General features: G+C 38.9%; 1 protein-coding gene across 12 annotated transcripts in view, besides 2 other annotated features; it reads right to left on the reverse strand.

Moving 5' to 3' along the window:
• Nucleotides 1–23,173, reverse strand: part of GMDS (GDP-mannose 4,6-dehydratase) — a 621,800-nt gene that overhangs the window by 315,210 nt on the left and 283,417 nt on the right. For 8 of the 12 annotated variants that reach the window (NM_001500.4, XM_011514500.2, NM_001253846.2 and 5 more), the window contains 2 exons: nucleotides 21,759–21,951; nucleotides 20,852–20,956 (listed from right to left, as the gene is read on the reverse strand). In NM_001500.4, the coding sequence (NP_001491.1) occupies nucleotides 20,852–20,956; nucleotides 21,759–21,951 (298 nt within the window). Of the gene's footprint in view, nucleotides 1–8,916; nucleotides 13,115–20,851; nucleotides 20,957–21,758; nucleotides 21,952–23,173 lie in introns of those variants that run through there. The other 4 variants (XR_007059239.1, XM_011514506.3, XM_011514505.3 and 1 more) reach the window with 4 other exon arrangements.
• Nucleotides 1,553–1,622: a silencer, noted in NCBI's record as "silent region_16825". NCBI's record gives its function as "represses an Ori minimal core promoter by ATAC-STARR-seq in GM12878 lymphoblastoid cells {active_cell/tissue: GM12878}" and the evidence as "EXISTENCE:reporter gene assay evidence [ECO:0000049][PMID:35858748]".
• Nucleotides 13,400–14,599: an enhancer, noted in NCBI's record as "P300/CBP strongly-dependent group 1 enhancer chr6:1952649-1953848 (GRCh37/hg19 assembly coordinates)". NCBI's record gives its function as "activates an origin of replication core promoter dependent on BRD2, BRD4, P300/CBP, MED14 and CDK7 cofactors, with strong dependence on P300/CBP, by STARR-seq in HCT116 cells {active_cell/tissue: HCT116}" and the evidence as "EXISTENCE:reporter gene assay evidence [ECO:0000049][PMID:35650434]".

Consider the following 23,173-nt stretch of genomic DNA (forward strand, 5'->3'; position numbering starts at 1 on the left):
CTCTCTCTTTCTTTTTTGGCACATCCAAAGTTCTCTTTGGTTCTTTTTCAAACCTGCCTGGGCATTTTTACATTCTGTTCTTGCTTGCTTATTTTTTCTGATTTGACATCTTTATTTACACATGTTTTTGTAATTTTATATTCTGAATTAGATAATTCCAGTATCTGAAGTTTTGGGGGGACTTATTTATTACTTGTTATTTATGCTGACTTTGACTGATGGTGGTTTCTTTCCTTGTGCATTTAGTGAGAGTTCATGTTTAGTAACCTTAATTTGCTGGAGACCAGAGGACATCAACGCAAATGACGGCTTCCTCCTGAGACAGTCACTGTTTGTTTCTCCTGGGGGCCAGGAGATACTAACACCTGGGATGCTCATCCCCTTCCAGAATGCACAGGTTAACAAGGTTCTGCTCTTCCCCTTGACTGCTATCTACTGATTAAAGAGGCTGGGTGTTCCCTAAAGACCCAAGGATATACATATACACACATGCATATATATATACACACACATATATATACACATATATACATATATATACATATATATACCTATATACATATATATACACACACACACACACATATACACATACACACACACAGAGTCCATGTTAAAGTTTCTATTATATTATAAAGCATACCAACATAACATCTCTATCTTCTATAACAAACATTAAAGGAAAAAAACTGACAAAATTTGGAAAACACACTTTAAATTGCCAGCATTAAACTGAAAACAATGGAATTGCCTTTAAGACATGAATAATAGCCAATTTATTAAAGAATTTGATTGCATATTAGGTCACAATCTTTTCCACAATGTATTACTTCAATAGAGATTTATTTTTAAAAACAAAATGCAACCTTGGGCGCCCTCTGATGATGCCGTAGACGTAAGGAAGAAACCCTATGGGAGGTTCACTAAGTCCTACTAGGGACAGTTCTACTTACCACACTACACAAAATTACTTCTTTTTGACACCCTCTGATGATGCCGTAGACGTAAGGAAGAAACCCTACAGGAGGTTCACTAAGTCCTACTAGGGACAATTCTACTTATCACACTATACAAAATTACTTCTTTTTCAAATGTATATTTCCTATGGCCCTGTGGCAATTTTTATTGTTTGTGTGTCTACAGATACACGATTGTATATGTGCATGCATGCATGCATACATACATATCTAAACATTATCCATCCATATCCAAATGGTACTTGAAGTAACCAAAATTTGTCTAATAAAAATTCTATTCCATTGCTCAATACTTCATCCAAAAGCTTTTGATTTAAAGATTTTTTTGGAGTTAGATAAAGTACAATGACAGTTTGGACAATATTCATTGGAAAACAGAAATCATTCCAATTTATCCTGAACCCCACATGAACCTCCGCCTTGGGGCCCTGCATTTTTCCCCTGTGGTAATCTCTGGCCACCCCACTGTGAACTGCCTGGGCCATGGCTCAGTGGAGACAGGGTGTGGAAAGAAGAGACACTGAGAAGGTCATGGCTGACTGAGCAGATGACTGAGATCAGAGAGATCATACCTCATTTGCTCACTAAGTCCTGCCAAGAGCAACACTATTTAACTGCAGGTACTCAAAATCCAATAGGCACGTTTAAAGGAATCTCAGGCTTAAAAGAGGACAATTCACAATGTGCATTTGTCTGAGATAGCTACCACCTTTTGGCAACTATTTAAAATATGTGTATAAAGAGAAATGTTCAAACTACTTTGCTATTTGTATCAAATGTTCAATGCATTTTCCACTGACAGTGAGATAATTCAAATTTGTAAGTCTTCCTTTCAGGTTTTCTCCAGTTTGGTACTATTGACATTTAAGGAGGAATAAGTCCTTTTTATTGCTGGTTGTGCTGTGCTTTGCAGTGTTTAGGAGCGTCACTGGCCTTTACCCAGTAGATGCCAGGAGCACCCCCTCAATTATGTTCACAGGTGTTGCCAACTTCCCCCTGGGGGGACAAAACTGCCCTGGTTGAGAACCATGGCCTTAGTCAAATAAAACAACCCCACAAAGACAAAATCCCCAAAATAAAAAAAAAAATGTATAGCTTTTAAGTACCTCTATTCATTCGATACACTAACAAAACTATCGGGGAACTAATAAACATGAAATATTTAAATCAGGATGAGACAAGGGTGAGTCTTCATTTAACACTGCAGTGAATCTATAAGCCTGGCCTTCCAACGAGGGTCTAGGCTGAGGGCACACATTTGGGAACTATTTATGTATGGATGATATTTCAAGTCCTGAGGCCAGCTGAGACCACCAAGAAAGGAATGTTAGCAACAAAACATAAATGGTCAGAGAACCAAATACACTGATGCTATAATGTTTACAGGCCAGATGAGGAGGAAGCAGTGAGGGGAAGCAAGGACACGGGAGTATCCTAACAGTCTGGATAGTCTGTATCCAGGAGGGAGTGATCACCATGACTGCAGGTCAGAAGGACAAAGACAGAAACGTGACCTTGATGGGAGAGCTTCTGAAAGAGGTGGACAAAAGTCCAAGGAAGGAGAGGGCTCAAGAAAGAATGGGGGTGAGATTTCGTAGACAAGGAGCACAAACAGCTTCTGAAAACTTCTGCTGTCAGTGAGAGAAAGGGGTGAGACTGGGAGGACTGCACTTCAAGATGGGCATGAAAGCAGCCTCTTTGCATGCTGAGGGAAAGATCCTAGTGATGACGGAGAAACTGATCCAGGAGAGAGGTGAGAATTGCTGATGCCAAGTCTTCAAGGAGGTGGTAGCAGACAGGAGCTCCAGACAGACAGCTCCTCCAGGGCACAGGAGAGCAGGTAGGGAGAACACAAACGCAGGAAGGCAGAGTTCAGATGTTCTGAGGACTTTTCTTCCTGCTCAAATCTTAAACACACACCCCATCCTGACTACACGACTCAACCCCGCCTCGCTCACCTCTCCCACTGTCTCTGCTCCTACGCCGTGAACTGAGTCGGAGGGAGAACCTTCGCACACCTATGCTGACTGCGCTCTCCAGCGAGAGCTAAGCTCGTGCTGCCTGGTCATGATGACCTGCAACTTCCTGGTCGGATCTTCCTCCTGTTCACCTCAGGAGACATTACCATTAACTCTAGTTCGCTTCTCCTTTTACCCCAAGCTAACACAACTTTCTGGATGGCCCTGCATGGTGAATGGTCTCACCCTGCACCCAGTAGCCCGGGAGTCCTCTTTGATTCCTTTCTCACTCTTCCATTAGTCAACTGCTCATCAAGTCCTTCTGAGTCTGTTTCTTCAGCAGTCCTAAATAATTCCCCATCCCAGCCTCTAGTAGGCCACAAATGAGGTGGCTGCTCAATGCAGATTCCCCAAAGCATGCTTTGGTGCTCTTTCCTACTTCACATGGTTCTAATGGGAGTAGCCTAACCCTGCCATCCTGACTGCACTGATTTATTCAAGGTAAGATCCTGGCCCAAGCTGGCCCAAAGCACCACTCACTGGCTACTGGGACTGGTTGAGGGAGTGGAAACCTGACCAAGGCCCTACCCCAGGCCATTCCAGATGGAGTTGAAAGAGAAAACAGTTTTCCTCCAAGTGGCAAGACTGAAAGGGGCAGTGATCCTAGTTCTAGTTTCATAGAAAAAACTGGACTGAAAAGATGAGGCCAAGACAGAAAGAAAAATGGAGACAGAAGATAAAAAGGGAGAATCCTGAAGATATCTGAGTTACTGGTTCCAGCTGTCCCTGAAATCGGACGTTCCTGCCATTCCCATACTTGGGTAACACCCATACAGCGCTATCTTCAATTATTTCACTTAAGCTTAGCGTGAGGTTCGCTTTTTGCCATTTCTAAAGCCAGAGTCCTGATAGACGCACAAGCACAAACTCAGCGAATAATTCCATCTGGCCCAGGCCCTTATCATTTTCTTTACTGGATTGCTGTCACTGCTACCAGGTACTCTCTTTGCCCTGACTCTCTTCCTGCTCTGCACCTGTCCTGAAAACTCATGACTTCCAAATGCAAATGCAACCACAAGCCTCTTTCTTCAATGGCTATAAACTGCCTATGGGCCGGAAGCTCCTGTGTGCCCTGTCACCGGCCCCGTCCCCAGCATCTCCTCCTGCCCTGTCCCCCTCACAGCTCTCTCCAGTGACATCCTACTGTGTGCAGACCCCCCAGCATGCACAGGTGTCTTCTCCTTCTCTGGACGGCCCCTTCTCTGAGAAACATCTGTATCCACAGCTAGTTCCCAACTGCCTGGCACTCCAAGTGTCATCTCAGTGGAAGGGTTTCCTGACTCCTCCCCTGGTGGGGGCTGTCCCTCTTCTGTGCTCCTCCATCACCCTTGCACAAGCTACCTGCTCTCATTACACTCCACTGCAATCTTCAGTTTACTCACCTCAACTGTGAGCTTCTTAAAGACAAGCATTCTATTCTGTCTCTCTAGTGTCTCGCCAGTGTCTAACACAGTATATAACACATGATAGGTGTTCAATCAACATTTTCTGCAGGGAGAGGGAGGGGAGCAGGGCTATTCCACAGTTTAAACAGGAAGGTATCTTTACATTTACACATGTAGGACATAATGAACCTGATTCTCTTATTGCTTCTGCCATAATTCCAGAGTCTCAGGAATGATTAAATGCTTCCACTGATACATTTATTTTTCAAGGACTTGCATACTAATAAGAATAAAGGTAATACCACAGATGCCAGTTCAGAACAAAGAAATTATCTGGTCACACTAGGCAGCTTGTCTCTCTTCTGACACGTATTAGGGTTCTTCTCTGCCTTCATGTTTGTAGGGACCTCTGTATACACTTTTACCTCTATAATCAGAGCTGTAGCAAATAGAGGAGGGATGTGAGAAGGATAAAAACTTTCTGTTGTGACAGAGAGAGTATCAAATTCAATATATTCAGTCTATGTAAGAATGAAAAACACTGGAACAATATAGAGATATGTATATCATCTTCTGAAATCAACTCCTTTTTGCAGAAATGACTTATTTGCATTAAAAATGACTTATCCCACATCGTTCCACATCATGTTTGGGCTTTACTTCAGAATTGATAGAGCTATTTCACAGAAGGATAATGTTCATACTTCTGTTTGAGGACACTCATACTGAAACCTCTTGGATTACAATTTCTCTTTAGCTCCCATCTCGACTCGGAAGTGTAGTGACATTTAAGAAGTAAGGCAGAGCCACTTCCTAAAATTTCACACTCAGCTGGGCGTTGGGGCTCATGCCTGTAATCCCAGCACCTTGGGAGGCCGAGGCGGACGGATCACGAGATCAGGAGTTCGAGACCATCCTGGCTAACACAGTGAAACCCCGTCTCTACTAAAAATACAAAAATTAGACAGGCGTGGTGGCGGGCGCCTGTAGTCCCAGCTGCTCGGGAGGCTGAGGCAGGAGAATGGCGTGAATCTGGGAGGCAGAGCTTGCAGTGAGCCGAGATGGCGCCACTGCACGCTAGCCTGGGCGACAGAGCCAGATTGCGTCTAAAAAAATATATATATATTAGCCAGGCGTGGTGGCGGGCGCCTGTAGTCCCAGCTACTCGGGAGGCTGAGGCAGGAGAATGGCGTGAACCCAGGAAGCGGAGCTTGCAGTGAGCCGAGATCGTGCCACTGCACTCCAGCCTGGGTGACAGAGCGAGACTCCGTCTCAAAAAAAAAAAAAAAAAAAAAAAAATTTCACGTTCGAAGTAACTTAACAAAAATAGTATTGGCTTATAGCCACCCAGCATAAAGACTGCAAAGTAACGAAATCTTCAAAAGACCTTTGATTCAAATTCTTGATCTGATAGAAAATTGGGACAAGATAAATGTCCATAAAATGATGCAATCATGTCTCCTTCCACAAGAATCTTAGTTGGCTCTAATGACAGTTTCTGTTATTCTCTTCTGTCACAGAAAAGTAAATATAGGCAATACCCTGAAAACAAATACATACAAAAGATACTTATTCACCCAAGGAAAATAAGTAACATTGCCTCCTCTGTAATAACTATTGCTAATTATTGATTTGGACTTCAAGCAGTTTTTCAAGAAGGGTCAGACTCCAAGAACAAGCACAATTAGAAATAAAGGATGACTTCTAAGAATTGTGTGCCAGTCAGAAAACACTGTCTTAGTTGTCGACATACAATATAAAGTAATACTAAGGAATGAAAAATGCAAGGAAGAGAAATTATGGCTTTCTTACTAGTGACTTAGCCTCTCTGCTTGAATCATATCTATAACTTTTTGAGGTTCTTTATAACTGTGGGGTTCTCAGCCACAAGCCTAATGAGATGAATGGGCATGCAGGAGGCAATAGCGTGCCTCTCAAGCTCACCAGAGCAGCAGCAGAGACTGAGCCTGTGTGGCAACAGGAGTGTGGCCCAAGGTACACTTTCTGGAAATTAGGTAATGAGCAAAAAAAGCATTTGGTCAGTACTAGATGAGATGTTTTTAACACATACTGACAACAGACCATAATACGCAAGGAGATAAAGTTTCACACTTTTTTTTCTTGTGGTTGGTTATAGTCGGGTTGGCTTGAAATTTAGAGTATGCACATACGGTTACAGAGGCCCTTGATAGATTTGCATGACAGTAATGTCTGTGAACCCAATATTCTTCACGCCTGGGGTCATGGCCTGCACCCGTAGATCCAGCCACTCGGGAGGCTGAGGCAGGAAGATTGCTTAAGCCTAGGAGTTAGATTTCAGCTTGGGAAACATCGTGAAACCCTGTTTTCTAAACAACAAACACCACCAACAAAAATCCCCAACATTCTTCAAATCACTCAGGAACAAATACTGTGAAGAGAATCACAGAAAAGCGGACTTAACAACCATGTAAAACATGTAAACTACAAATAATTCTAAAACCGAAGGTATCTGTCATTCAGCAGTATCCCTGACATGGTATTCCCAGGATAGTGTCTATAAACTAAACACCATGAAACAGTTTTTTTTAAAGTTAATAGACTGAGTTACAAGACAGCTTAACAGTTTAGTCCCAGTTTCTATGTCACCCATGTGGCAAAATTTCAGGTGAAAGATTTGCTTCCATATTTTACTTCATCACTTCCTTTTCTCACTAATTAAATTTAGAATTTAGCAAACCTAAAATGAAAAATAAGGAAAGGAAAGAAGCAACAAAAAGTCAAACAGGAAGAATGGTCTTGAGGAAAAACTAGAGGGCCAGGAAAGGCAGCTAATGTAACTGGAAAAATACTCACTGGGGCAATGAAATGTGATGGAAGGGGCAGGCCACCAAAGGAGCCGCACAAGGTAATGGACAGTCACACAGTTCCAGGGTCAAACCACATGAGTCCAAATCCTATATCCTTCACTACTATGGGAAAGTAATTTCACTTCTCTAAACTCCTGTCACCTTACCTGTAAAATGGATATAACTACAACTACTTCATCGTTTTATTATGGGGATTAAAAGAGATGAGTGACAGAGCATCTGGCACATGGTCAGAACTAAATAAGTGTTACCTGCTATGCTATCATTATCATTACTAACATCACTAACAGTCCCGTAAGTTGAAACTTTTCAAAATTCTAATATATTAGCTCAAGAGCACTTTACACTTCTCAATAAGAATTTGTGTTTAAAAATTCCAGTATCAGATGCACTTAGAATTCAGCCAAAGAAAGGGGGATATGCTGAAAACATCAAGCAGGTACGGAAGGCTTTCCAGGAAGTGATCACAGGGCATGCTCAGCCCTTGGCTGCAGAAAAGGAGGAGCGTGTGTCAGGTACAGCCCCTGCACCAAGACTCAAAGTGAATGGGCACAATAGCTACCAGTGGGCATGTGCTGGCAGCCCTCCTTTGGGCAGGAGTGCCAAGAAGCTCTCTAGGCATGTTTCACAAGGAGCACTCAACTATTGCAATCCCCATCCCCCAAATCTGGCTCAGAAAAGCGATTTCATTTTAATAACCATCAATCTTAATTAATATAGCAGAATTCAATGGTGTCTAGCGAGTTCTGCACATTTTTTGGAAAGAAGTAGATAGATCATTTTTCGCATATGGTATATTAGCTCATTTTAGTGCTGGGAGTAGAAGAGTAGATGAACTTCTTTTCCTATATTTTCAGTTCCCTGTCTTAATATTTGCTTCCTATAGGGAAATATTTCCCTGTGCTTGCAGATTTATGAAACATTCCTCAATGTCCAGCACTCCCAATTAAATGTTCTCTGTGAACTTGGGACCACACAGTCGTCTGCCAGCCAGAATGGGGATATGCTGGTACTAAGGTTCTCACCAACCTATTTTGTCTTCCTCAAAAAACATTTATCAGTGTTCCTCTGAGAAACACCTTCATCCTCCTTAAAACAAGGTTTATTTCTTATGTACAAATTAACTGTTAGGGTCATAAGAGGCACTGGGGCCAGGGTTGAGCTCTTTCCTGGGTACCTCTACCAAGCCTTCTTTACACTGTGTGGGCATTAGGGCCTCCCTTATTCCTCTGATACAATTGTGCTGAAAACCCACCTTTCTTGCTGCCAGGAGGGTTTCTCTGTGACCGCACTGATGTTCACTTCCTTACTTGCATACCCTCATGGGCTGGTTATCCTCACGTACATCCTGCTTTAGCAGCCTTTCAGGAATCTTAAACTTACCAACAGAAATAGAAGGCAGACGCAAACCTTCTGAAACATAAAATCTGGCTTAATCTGGGAATTTTTTACTCTAGGAATCATTAGAGTTTGTCCACACCAGAAACATCTAATAACAATATCTGGGAATTAGCCCATAAACAACAGAAGCAAAGACCATTATTCTTCTAGCATTTAATATTCAATATCCCACAAGTTACTTTACCAGATCTTACCTACTTTACTTATCACTTACTAAGCTCTGAAACCTTAACTTTTTTAACTTGTTCAGAGAAAACAAAGTCATATGTTCCTTTATGCATTTTCCCCTTTATTCCTTCTGTTTATTAATTTTAAGTTGCGAGGTGGCACAAACTGAGCTTACTTCTCTAGGTGGGACATTAGCAGCAGTGATGGTAATAATAATGACGTGCTAATAACTTCACTTCCACGATTTCCTTTAATGCTTATAACAACCTTAAGTGAACACTATGATTACCCCATTTTAGAGATGAGAAAACTGAGACTCAGAGAGATTGAGAAACTGGCCAGAGTTGTTCTAGTATGTAGTAGAACCTAGACTGAGTCCAAGTAGTTGAACACTTCTATATCCTTACGTGAACCACTTAAAAAGGGGAACAATATTCCATAACAAATAGTGGAAAAGAAAGTTTTGACTCAAACTAAATTTCAAAAACTTAAGAATGTTATTTTGAAGAAAAATTTCCACTTACAATTAACAAAATTTAAATTACAACTGCATCTATGTAATTTTTGTTAGTCTAGTCACAAAGTAAAGTAAGGTTTTCTTCTTGTAATTGACACAACCATATACATTTCATGTAAGATTTTTACAGGACCATTAAAAAAATACATGTATCACTTAAAAAAATACTTGAAAAAATTAGCCTGGTGTGGTAGTGTACACCTGTCGACCCAGCTGCTCAGGAGGCAATGGCAGGAGGATCTCTCGAGCCCAGGAGTCCGAGGCTGCAGTGAACTATGATCACCGCTGTACTCCAGCCTGAGCACTGTACAACACAGTGAGGCTGTGTCTCTATTAAAAAAAAAATACTTGACAGTTTCACTAATTTTCTTAAGAATCTTTCACACGTCCTTGATATTTATCCATAAGCCTTTCATTCATCATCGTCTTTTCTTGACTTTCCTAATTCAAATGTTAACTGGTTTACCTGCCAAAATCTCGTTTTGAATGGCTTTTCCTGTGATTCCAGCAATTCTTCAATACTACTTACATTTTATTTTTTTGCAATTCACGGGTGTCTCGCCGAACTACTCTGTTTTATCTGTCAACACCACTGAAAGATTCTTGGCTTTTGGTTCAGGACCATCTTCTGTTGGCTGGCACTGCAGCGTTCACATTTCTCACTGTCCTCTTATGCCAGTAGCCACAGCAATCCCACTAACAGAGCTGCCTCCAACAGGGTCTTTCACTTTGGAAGGGAAGGAGTAAAAAAACTAATTCTCTAGCTTTCAGCATTGAAAATACAGGAACAGGGAAGAAAAGAGAAAGGAAATATGAAATAAATCTTCAAAATCTACTATGCACTGTATTAATCTTTTCCCTGTAAGTTTTCCCCATCACCTTCACAGTGAGCTGAAATGACAGAGCTGCACTTTGCTCCATCAGGTGGGCGTTATTAACCTCTCCATGTGCAGATGCAGAAACTGAGATCTGAGTAAGTGACGTGCCCAAATGCACACAGCTGATGATGAGTGGCCAAATTCTCTGTGTATATATACTGCGTGGCTATATTGCAGGGAACTGTGCTACATGTCATCAGACAGTTATCAGTTTGGTTTCAAACATAAATGTCACAGACATTACAAAACACTGAAAAACAACCCCTTGAATTCAATTTAACAATTCCAGAAATCTCACCTCAGGAGATGGGAGGGATTTCATTTTGTTTGGTGGTAATCAGCACCTGCATTAGACCAAGTATTGCTTCAAAAGTCTTTTATGTTTAAGCAATTACACCTCATCTCTCCACAAAGAATAACATGGGCCAGACAGCTTTGTGATCGCCAAGTGTACATGTCATCTATGAAGTATCATAGTCTACAAATGCAATGGTAAACCAGATGATGTCACTTTGTGCCCCAACCAGAAAGGCTACCCAGAACCTGGTGGGTCCAAGAGTAGCGGCCAACAATCTAACCATTTATGGACAGACAAATGGTATTGTGTAAAACCTATAATGCTCTACTGAACTCCAACAGGAGATTACTTCATCCCCTGATTTCACAATGGGCTGCTAAAATTTTTTGCAATAAATTAAGTCTCTGATGCTCATCTACAAAAGCCACAAAGCACCTTTTATAGCTAGAAATACAAACAAAATATTAAGGTATTTGCTATTGGTTTGCCTGTTTGATACTTCTACAGTGCATGATTTGAATTTGCCAAACTGGCCAATATTCAGTAATTTTTTAAAGATTATTTTATTTAGACATGTTATATGTAGTATTTACACAGAGAGAAAGTGTTTTCTGCCTATTGTGATTAACTGAAAACAAGTCCCAGTTACCTAATTTCTATCATGCATTATATTATTCCCTAAAGCACTAAAACATCTATGAATTCTAATAGTTTTAAAGGAAAATTCTCATATGCAGTGAACCCTTCACACTAATATTAGTATAATCCTATGCATTGAAAGATAATCTTGAATCAGTTCTAACTGTTGTTTTATATCAAAGCCAGATCATGGACTCTACAACTTATTCTCAAATGAAAAATGTGTTATTCTTATAACTAATAACAAAAAGTAAACATGTTCATTGATTTTGGAGGCTTGGGAGGGTCCCAAACCCATCTTGACTTGGCTCGTGAATCAGTGGGTCACTGAGGTGAGGGTTCAGCCTCCAATGATTAGAAGAGTCCTGGGTTTGAGTTGGGTCTGACCTGCAGCAGACCATAATACTTAAGGCCCTGGAGCTATTTGAATCCGAATGTTTTCTTTGGTGTTCACGTAAATGTTTGCTAAAGTTCTATGAAGAATTTACTGTAAAGTGAAAGTGATACCTAAAGAAAAATGAGACCCTACTGTTGTTCTATGAAGAATTTACTGTAAAGTAAAACTGAAGTGTAACGAAAAATGAGATGGCATTCATCTCATCTGTTACAGGTGGCATTCACACAGATTCTGCAAGCACATTTGGAAGGATGACATCCTAGGGCAGAGTTTCTTATCCTCACCACCATGAACCATCTGGACAGGACAGGCGTTTGTTATAGAGCCATCCCGTGCACACCACTATGAACCATCTGGACAGGACAGGCGTTTGTTATAGAGCCATCCCGTGCACTGTAGGATGTTCAGCAGCATCCCTGGCCTCTACCTACCAGACACCAATAGTAGCCCCCTCCTCCGTTGGGACAAGAAAAATATCTCCAGACACTGCCAGACGTCCTCTGGAGGAAAGAGCCACTCTCTCCCCATTCCCCACCCCTAGTTGAGAACCACTATTCTAGAGCATTAATCTTATCTTTACAGCAACAAATAAAGACAATCTTTAAAAAACAAATCAAAAGGAAAATTACCCCAAATTTTACTTAAATTTTGACAAGTAATTTTTACATGAATTATTTTAAAAATTCTGAAGATTAATTTATAAAGATAAATACAGTCAGACATTTTATAAAGCAAAGTACTTGGCAGCTAAAAAAATGCTCAAGACGAAAACTCAAAACCACAAGTTCATGAACCTTAAAAATGCCAGATTCTTTCAGTCAGGTGAATACTGTGTTTAGACTGATGTATATGATTTCTTATGAAGCCCATATTTAAAGGAATGTCCTATCTCATCTAGAAATGGCTCAGTATCTAAACAGTGCTAGTACACCATCCATTTGTGGCAATCTCACACGGTTAATTATGGGTATATTTAAAGTACTTTATAGCTTCCCATTGCCACATGATTTTTAATGTTTTATTTTTTATTTTGTGGTAGGGATGAGGTTTCACTATATTGCTCAGGCTGGTCTACAACTCCTGGCCTCAAGTTATCCTCCTGTCTTAGCCTCCCAAAGTGCTGGAATTACAAGCATGACCACCATGCCCGGCCTGATTTTTAATGTCTTTTATATTAGTTCTTCCTATTACCAACTTCTTGATAACAGGCAAGAGAAGTTATTTATTTCATATCACATTTATATTCTAATATTATAAAACTATGTTTATTGTAATTATTTCTGTCAAACATCTTAAAGGAATATTGCCTTTAAGCAAACTAATGGTCTTTTACAAAGATAAGAGCAGCTGAGACATTCCGTTTCCAACTTGTCCACTTGCTTCACTGCCAAGCTGAGGTGGCCCACTCAGTGTCACAGGGGTTTCTTTGCTCAAGTTCAACTCTAAAATTCGTATATATGTTATTTCCACAAATATGTACAATATTTACATGACTTCTCCTAGGATTATTTCTGGTCTCCGTGTTAGCATTTATTGGCTTCACGACCTTGGACAACTCAATCTCATGCTGCTTCTGTTTCCTCATTGCTGAAAAAAGGGAGATGAAAGAAGCTTTAAATTCCTATTTCACAAATTCTGAGGGTATTTTGGGAGAATACCTACAGGTGGATGTTAACTGGCTGCTCCCTAGAAGCTCTTTCAAGGAAAAAATAGTATCTAATGGCTTAATACACATTTTTAAAATTAAAAAATAGAGAAAAATAGAAGTACACATGAATTTCATTTCCACATACAGATAAAAAATTTGTAAGTTAAACAAGTTAGTCAAAATGTCTCTGAAAGTACCTGTGGAGTATTAAATCACTATGTCAAACGCAACACGAAGAGCTAATGAGCGTGCATTTTTCACAGTAAGGATGATGATGATGATGATAGCCAAACCCCTCTGATTCCTCAGCTGGGAGATGATTAAAAAAAGTTCTTCGTGACTCAGAATGAAATACAAAATAAACCAGCTTTCTGGAAGTATTTACTAGGATCTCATGAAATTCTGAACAGACAGTTTAGCAACGGAAGCGCTCCTGGGGGAAGAAGGTAGTGATGGATCTGTTGCAAGGCCCCATGGTCAGAGACAGAGGAGCAAAGTTACATATGGCAAGTAGAAGAGAGGCTCAGTTAGGCGTTAGGCAAATATGGAAAGGAAGAGAAAAGAAGATCCACAGGGAGAGAGAATGCTTTACCCAGACTGAGTAAATGTCCCATTCTTAAACACTGAGAGAAGAAAGAGTGGGAGGAGAATGGAAGAAATACGCTGTCAACAGGGAACGTGATTTCTTACTCAGGCTAAAGGTATCCAGGGATGAAGCCAATCCCTATGAGTGACTCACGGCTGGTAACCAACGGCCCACGAGGTAGGCTCATGTAACCAAACATCACCTCCTCAGTCAGTCCTGGAAGTAGAGGTTACTACATTGCCCAAACTTTCCTAATGATCGAAAGACTAAAATGAGTCAACATAAGAAAAATATCCTCATCGAAAGACGGAAATCTTCAACTGATCTCCTGCGGAAAGCAAAGGGCTGCTGGGTATGAGAGGCAGGCCTGCCAACAGCCGGCAGCACAGAACAACTTTCTCCGTCACACCCCTGGGTCAGGGCTTTCTCCTCCAGGACGTGGACCCTAGGAAGTCTCACAGAAACCGAGGCTGCTGTTCTTAGTGTAGGAAATCAAAGCGGCTAATTCTACACTCATACTGAAAACTGAAAAATCACATTTAAAAAAAAAGAATGCTGAATATTATGTGTGTTTCACCCTTTATTCACAATAGCTACTGTCATCAAAATTAGGAAATCAGGGATAATCTAATCATTAAATTTTTTAACCTTCCAAAAGTAGAAGGTAGAATGTATTTTTTGTTCCCTCTTAATTATCATGCAAAATGTTTTTTCTTAATTTAGAATACACTCATATTAGTGTTATTTATAGTTTTGTAAAGGTCACCATATTTGTATTTATGGCATGCCAAAGTACTCTGCCAATGTTAAGAATTAAGACATAATTAGCCCCAACTGGTTACATTACATATGTGATGAACAGTAGTTATTCTTCTTATTTACCTCCTAATGTAATAAACAGTCAAAACTAGAAATATTGTTAGCTTTACTAAATAGGCTTGCTTCCCATGTTCCAATTTATAGCATAATCTTTAAGAGTAGATTTTATTACTGGTAAATAACATATTTGAAAAGAAACTAATATACTTATTTATGAACTATTTTTAAATAATTAAAAAAACCTCTCAATATTTTCCCCATAGTTCACAACTTATATAATAATTAATATCTTTATGACAAGTCTGATTGTTTAGTTTTTCAAAGAAATGTAATAAGGCAAGAAAATTTTTGTACATGTCTATTTCCTCATAGATATTAAACAGTTTGAGATAATAAACAAAACCTTTTTCCCTAGAGAGTCTATTCTCTATTACAGATAATGTGAAGCTGTATTTCCAGTAGAAAGCTATCATTATATCCACATTTGTGGCAAAAAGAATACTGTATGTATGTAAATATAAAAATAAAGATATGTAATGGAACAGCCAGGGAGATACACAATTTCAGGTTTGAAGAAACAATACAAAAGGAAAAAGCAGTTTATTAAGTGTGTAATAATAGTATGTTTTTAAAAGCCCTGTACAACCTTAACTAAAAATTACTTTATCACTGAAAACCGTTAATGACCATCTGTGCCTTTTGCTGGTAGAGGGCTTGCCTCAGTGTCGATGGCTGCTAACTGATCAGGATGGTGGTTGCTAAAGGCTGGAGCGGCTGTGGCCATTTCTTACAATAAGACAACAATGAAGTCTGCTGCAATCACTGACTCTTCCTTTCAGGAAAGATTTCTCTGTAGCATCCAGTGCTGTGTAACAGCATTTACCCGCAGTAGAATTTGTTTCAGAATTGGAGTCAATCTCTCAAACCCTGCTGCTGCTTTAACAACTAAACCTATGTAGTATTATAAACCCTTCTTTTGTTATTTTGACAACATTCACAGCATCTTCACCAGGAATAGATTCCATCTTAAGAAAATACATTCTTTGTTGATCCATAAGAAGCAGCTCCTCATCAGTGAAAACTTTATTATGAGATTGCACACGATAAAAGCAGTCACATCTTCAGATTCTACTTTTAATTCTAGCTCTCTTGCTATTTCCCCCACATCTGCAACTACTTCCTCCACTTGGAGGCCAATGGAGGGCTATTAAGTGGCCTAATTTCAATATTGTTGTGTCTCAGGGAACGGGGCGGCGGTGGCAGGGGGTGGTAATGGCCAGTTGGTGGAGCAGCCAGAACACACACAATATTTACGGATTAAATTCACTGTCTTTTATGGGTGCAGTTCATGGTGCCTGAAAACAATCACAACAGCAAAACCAAAGATCACTGATCACAGATCACCGTAACAGATATAATAATAATCAGAAGTTTGAAATATTAGGAGAATTCTCAAAATGCGACACAGAGACAGGAGGTGAACACCTGAAAAAATAGTACCTACAGATTTGCTTAATGCAGGGTTGCCACACACCTTCAGTATGAAAAGAAGAAAAAAGCAATATCTACGAAGCAATAAAATAACATATGCCTAAACTCGTGTATTTAAGTGTACCCAAACAGAAAAAGTACAGTAAAAATGTGACTTTTTAATTATAATACAGTATGATAATCTTATGGGACCACTGCAGTCCATCATTTACCAAAATTTGTTATGCAGGTTATGATTGCCTACTTTTTTATTTTAAAAAACTGAGTACATATGAAAGAAAGCACCTGGTTAATGTCTGTGAATATCAGTATATAATACATAGTAATAGTTATTCATAAAACATATACTACTATATACATTTTCATGACTTATAGACATTTAATTCTAAAATTCTGTTATTCTTATTAATTTGTAGTAAATATTACTAAAGTGCTCCCATTTCATAAGAAGCAAGTCTATAGCACAAGTGCCATCCACCCTCTTGCTTTCACCAACGGAGTGACTGGAAGGCTGACTGAGGGATGCAAAGTCGCAGATTATTGGCTCTATTCCCTAAATCAGTGATTTCCAACTGTTGATCTGATGCTAGCATAGGTGATTCTTACATCTCTAGATGTATTACACGGTTCTCAAAACAAATATATTTAGAAAGAAAACCTAAATAAATAAATGAAGTCTTCAAAAAAAAAAAAGAAAAAGAAAGAAAACCAAAAATGGTTGGGATGGAGAAAAGACACAGAAGGCAGTCAAAACCGTAATGAGCACGTGTCCAAGCTCAGGAGTTGTGGTTGTTGGACAAACTATGCTACATGTATATCATCAGTTACTAGCTTATTTGGTTTCATACATCACTGACAACTAGCTTTCCTTTAGAGCACTTGGTCATAGTGCTTGATCCTTTGGAGCACTTGGTTACCTGCATACAGCAGTGAAGTACAACAGAACCCCAACCTGCCAAAGCACTTCAGAATTCTGCTTAAGGACTGGCTCACTATGCTCTTTAACATTTATAGGAAATCTTTCTAAAAGACTACCTTGCTACCATAGGAGAAACCCACAATCAACCCAAGTGAAAGTTTTCTCGAATGTTGAGGATCTGTCTACAGCTGGGGCCAGCAAATGTTTTCTTAGAGGCCCAGACAACAAATATTTTAGGCTCTGCACACTACAAGACTCCATAGATGAAAGCAGCCATAGATGATATATAAACAAGTGCATCTGCCTGTGTTACAATAAAACTTTATTTTCAAAACTATGCTGGTAGGCCAGATTTGGCCCATGAGTCCTAGATTGTCAACTTCTGGTTTAGCCTATTGTTAGATTAAAAAATACTTTTCCCCACTTTTGAAAGTCAGAAATTCTCATGAAATGTTATTCATGCAGTGAGAGGGCACCTTTGACAATTACACTTTGTTAGAGAAAAAGTATATGGCCCCCAAAAACTGCATCAACTTGGGCTCTACAAATTCAGCATGGGTGACTGGATACCTAGGACTAGATTGAGGTTTACCAAGGTTTTTCTACACCATGTAGAAAAAAAAGGGTTTGTTCCCTGTAATAACAGGGAACAAGAAGACTGATGAGTAAATGTTCAACCAACTTAAGAAAATAAACTCACTTAAAGTACCACAGGAAATTCTAGGTTTACAAAGATTATTAACAAAAAACAAATTTTATCTGTTTATTAATGTATATCAGATTGAATCTTTACTTCAAAATCATTTATTAGCTTTTTTTTTTTTGAGATGGAGTCTCGCACTGTCGCCTGGGCTGGCACAATCTCGGCTCATTGCAACCTCTGCCTCCTGGGTTCACACCATTCTCCTGCCTCAGCCTCCCGAGTAGCTGGGATTACAGGCACCCACCACCACACTCAGCTAATTTTTTGTATTTTTAGTAGAGACGGGGTTTCACCATGTTGGCCAGGCTGGTCTCAAACTCCTGACCTTAAGTGATTCACCTGCCTCGGCCTCCCAAAGTGCTGGAATTACAGGCATGAGCCATCGCGCCCGGCCCATTTATTAGCTTTAATTACTATATGAGTAAAATCAACAATATGTATATATTTATAAATATCGATATAATTTCTACTTTTCTGTAATTCAGACCACCTAGCTTTCAAGTCAGTAAGCTGTTCCTGAAACATGAGATATTAACTTATTCATTCATTTAAAAATATTTACTGAATGCTTATTAGCAATTAGGCATTGCCTGGAAGCTGGAGATGTATGAATACAACACAGTCCTGCCATTATGGAATTTTCAGTCTGGGAAAGAAATCTCCTTGGAAAACAACATTACTGTCAGATTAATTTAATCTGAAAATTAATGATCAAGTTTTAAGAAATGCTGTAAATAGTAGGCATTACATATCAAAGTATTAATATCATTTTCACGTACATCTCTTTTTCTCATTATTTGATCATATAGTTAAAAATGTGGTACCACTGATTTCCAGGCATATAATAAAACAAAACAAAATGGTGTATGCTACAGTTGAGGTCAAGTTCCTAAAGAGATTTAATAGAAGCCTGACGCTGCAGAACAATATGTAGAGCAGAACCCTCTTTGTATGTTTAAAGAGAGAACTTTTCTGAAGGAATGTTAACAGTGGGTCTGAGGATAGGGCTGGCAGTTATCACGAGGGTGGGAACTTTTACTTTAAAATTTTATTTTAAATGAAGACGTGTTACTTTTAGAACATTTTTTATTACTTTAAAACAATTTTTTTAGAGACAGGGGTCTCACTATGTTGCCCAGGCTAGAGTGCAGTGGCACAATTATAACCCACTGCAGCCTCGAACTCCTGGGCTCAAAGAATCTTCCCAACTCAGCTTCCCGAGTAGCTAGGACTTCAGGCACCCATGACCACACCTGGCTGATTCGTTTTTTATTTTTTTGAGAGACAGGATCTTACTATGTTGCCCAGGCTGGTCCCAAACTCCTGGGCTCAAGTGATCCCCCGAACTTAGCTTCCCAGAGTTCTGGGATTACAGATGTGGGGCACTGTGCCTGGCCTTAAAATATGTTTTTTTTTTTTTTTTTTTAGTTAGTGGTTAACATCTACAAAGACAAAAAATAAGTTCTCATTAGGAGGTACACAAAGAGAGAATTAGGGGGAGTTATATTCAAATTTATCTTTTTTTACTTTGCAACCCAGGAATGTTTTTCCCTATCCTGACCTGATTCACAACAATTAACTTTTATTTTTTTTTTGCAGGTGGAAAAGTTGAGGGAGGAAGAACACAGAAACCCAAACAATGTGTATGAACATGTTTGTGAGAAAGAGGCAGGGATTACCACGACTGAGCAGACTCTGTGGGCGCCCTCATACCACATGCTGCAGGCAACCACAGCTAGGATCTTCCTTTTCCTTTCTCCCTTACCGCTGGCACCCAGGACCACAAAATTCATTAAAGAAATGTTTCTCACTGCTTGTGAATTTGTTTTCCTTTCAGGCAATGTGATGACAGGCTAGGTTCTTATGCTTTAACAGCCCATCATGGGAATTTTTAACTTAAGCAATTATAAAATAAAAATGTACTGACGCTAAAGATTCATTTATAAACCTGTCGCTTTAATCTTTCTTCATGACTTGTTGGTGTAATTAGGCAGCTATATAGTCACATAAAATTTCACGGAAAAATTATATGCTTACTAGTTGTTGGTCATGAAACAACTTATAACATTGGACTTCACGTTTATTCTCAGACTAAAAATCTAAATGATAGCGAAATTTAATAAAACTTCTTGGAAGGCTTACAGATAATTTTTACTTTGTAAAGCATGTGCATGCTTTGTAAAGCTTTCTCATGCTTCAGTAAATCAGAAGTAATGATGGGGGTACACATTTTCTTACTTAAAACTTAATACTGGGAACAAGAGAACTAGCACGTTGCTACAGTCTCATCAACAACTCTGAAAAGGCAACAAGCCAATACAAACAAATACAGTTTTCCAAAAATACCTGATAATACTTCTAAATTAAGAGCTGACTTCAAGGGAGTGGGGAATAAGGGGAGATTTCTTAAAGAATATAAAATTATAGCTAGACAGACACATTAAATTCTAGTGTTCTGTGGAGTGCTCTATAGTTTATCATATTAAGTATTTCTCAATTAGCTAGAAAAGAGGTTTTTAAATGTTCCTAACACAAACATACAATAAATGTCTGAGGTGACAGATATGCTAATTACTCTGATTTGATCACTACACATTGTTTCAAAACATTACTATGTACTCCATAAAAATGTGTCAATTTTTTAAAATCTTGTTAAAAAACTGATTTCAACTTTATTTTAAAATAATTTAGAAGCATAGTAATTTCTGGACGTCTATTTAATGAAATGTAAAGAAAGAATACCAAATATCTAACCATTCAAAGTCAAAAAATAACATAGATCCTACAGATTGAGTCTATTTGAATAGGAGTAATTTCTAAAAACAATCATTAGTTTACTACTTATTCCTTTGCATTCATATAGTAGCTTCCTAATACTCAGGTTGAAAACAAGCTTGATAAGATCTACTAATTAAAATGGTAAAACTGGAACACTGTCCAGTTTTTAATGTTAAAATTTAAAATCCCACAAACTCAAAATAAAATTACAAAAAACTAAGGCTGGGTATACATTTCTTCATTTGCTGCTCTGACATTCATCATAATTAGATACAGATAGGAAATTTTTCAGTCTCTGTAGTACATACACCAAATAGACATGCAACTTGTTGTTGTTGTTCAAGTCTGAAATTCTCTTTTCAGTTAATATATTTACTGACCTCTTCTGGGACTCTCATGATTGAAGAGAATGCCGTTCACTGCAAAGAGATTATACGCCTCACGGAAGTTCACCACAATCCAATAGGCATAGAGTTTTGCTGCCCCTGTTGGAATAATTTTTTTTAAGCAATGAAGTTTGTTGTAAAAGACAGTGATTCTCACCATCTTCAACAGTAACATCTTGGCCGAAATAATAACTTGTAATGCATCCAAATACAAAAAAGTATCAAAACCCAAAGACGAAATAAAGGTTATTACACCTGTCAATCATGTTCACCAGGAAATATTTTAAGAATTTCTTACTTTTGTAATGCCAACAGTGCATTATTTGACAATCGAATTGATTGAATCTTTCTTAGATCTTTTTCTCTCTCATTCTCTCTCTCTAACTTTTGAGGAATTAGAATGGAAAAAAATGAGGATCTTAACATTCCAACTGCTTTGAAATTTTATCACTGAAGTCTTTCATTAATATTCTCCTTACAAACATATTAGACACAATAGTCTTTTTTTTTGAAGGTTTTGAGCTCAAGGAAATTTCATGGAAAATAAAAAAAAACATGAAACCTTATCACTTCAGTATAATCTCATAACAGTTTAGAAAAAGAATCACATTGGGTCTGATTTTCCATTTCAAGTGATCTGTATGGAAGGGCTGAATGAACATGGGTTGGTGAAGTGAGGTGGTAATTTCACCCCGAAGGCAATGGCAGCAAATACTTGTAGTTAGCAACGTATAAAGGTATGCTTCTCAACAAGTTCAGTCACTTTAGTCTACCTTAATGTTAACCTCACACCCAAATGACTTCAGCTGTGAGACATGAACAGAATGAAAGGAAAAACACACACCCCCCACACCCACAGATAACGCCACACATGTGCTCCGGTGTGCACGCATGTTCTCACCATAGGGTGACCGGGGATAGAAAGGGGTGGTCTCCTTCTGGGGTATTTCCTGCACTTTCCCATAAAGTTCACTTGTTGAGGCTTGGTAGAACTTCACAGAGTTGATAAGGCCACAAGTCTTAACTGCATCTAGAAGTCGTAGAGTGCCAACTCCGTCAACGTCCGCAGTGTACTCAGCGAGGTCAAAGGAAATCTGGAAAAAGCAGGCGGAGACAGGGCTGCATTAATAGCTTCATAGCACAAAGGTGCTGTCAGCAGGAACAAAGACTACAATTTCACACACTGTGAAATGTTGGTGAGAAAATATTATTTTCTAACAGCACAATAAGAACGTGGATGTCATCTACATACAGTATCAAATTGCTAAAAATATCTTAATTCCTATTAATTACCTATGGTAATGTGAAGAACACTTTAACCGCCCTTCTACTACTCGTAATTCTAGGCTGGAGTTCCTAGGGCATGGGTTATTATAGGGCAAACCCTATTCCTCAGAATTATCTGGGATCTTCCTTAAAAATTCAGTCTGAACCAATCTCTTTGGGGGGTAGGGACCTAGGAAATTTACATTTTTAATGAGCCCCAGTTGATTTTTATGTACAGAGAAGTTTTGGAACATGTGCTTTAGAACACAGCTGAATTTAAAAAGGGTTGTTTTATTTTCTATTCTAAAGGTACAATAATAAATTTGTAATCTATTACACGAATGCATAATCTTTTTTTAATTTGAGACACAGAGCATACAGCAAGATGCTAATGTATATATGAACCAATTTCTAAGCGAATGCTGAGGAATAATTCGATATTTTGCAGTTCTTTAGAGCACTTTTTAAAAACAAGTGTGACTGATATGCTTTCTGAAATTATTCTATTTATGCATAATGAACAAAATAATCTAATATTAAGTCCCCTAAAATAATAAGGCTCAAAATCTTTGTCACTGGTTTATTCGTAGGCTAATATAGCTGGGCACAGTGCAAACAGGCTTCCCCTGCTGCCTCGTGAATCCTCAACTGGAAAAACCCCTTTGAGGGGTAAGGTCACTGGTCTTCGTCACTGCTGGGTCCTGCATGTGTGCCCTGGAGCAGAAGCTGTCCCCTGGCACATGCAAATGGTATTCAGGCAACTGCTCACCAGGGACCCTATTTAGACCACTAAACTCATGTCATTTAGGCCTGTGAGTAAAGGTCATGTGGCTGCCGGGAAATCAAAAGAAAAAAAGTATGTTTCATCCACAGTCTTTCAAAGGTAAGAAAGCAAATTTGGAAGTCTGTTATTTTTATTCTTTTCTAATAACAGTTCATTAAGATATAATTCACACCCATAAAATTCACCCTTTTAACAGTTTACAGTTCAGTGGTTTCTAGTACATTCACAGCAGTAGATGCCATCATCACCATCTAAGCCCAGAACAT

Source organism: Homo sapiens, chromosome 6, assembly GCF_000001405.40.
Source record: "Homo sapiens chromosome 6, GRCh38.p14 Primary Assembly".
Classification (NCBI taxonomy): Eukaryota; Metazoa; Chordata; class Mammalia; order Primates; family Hominidae; genus Homo; species Homo sapiens.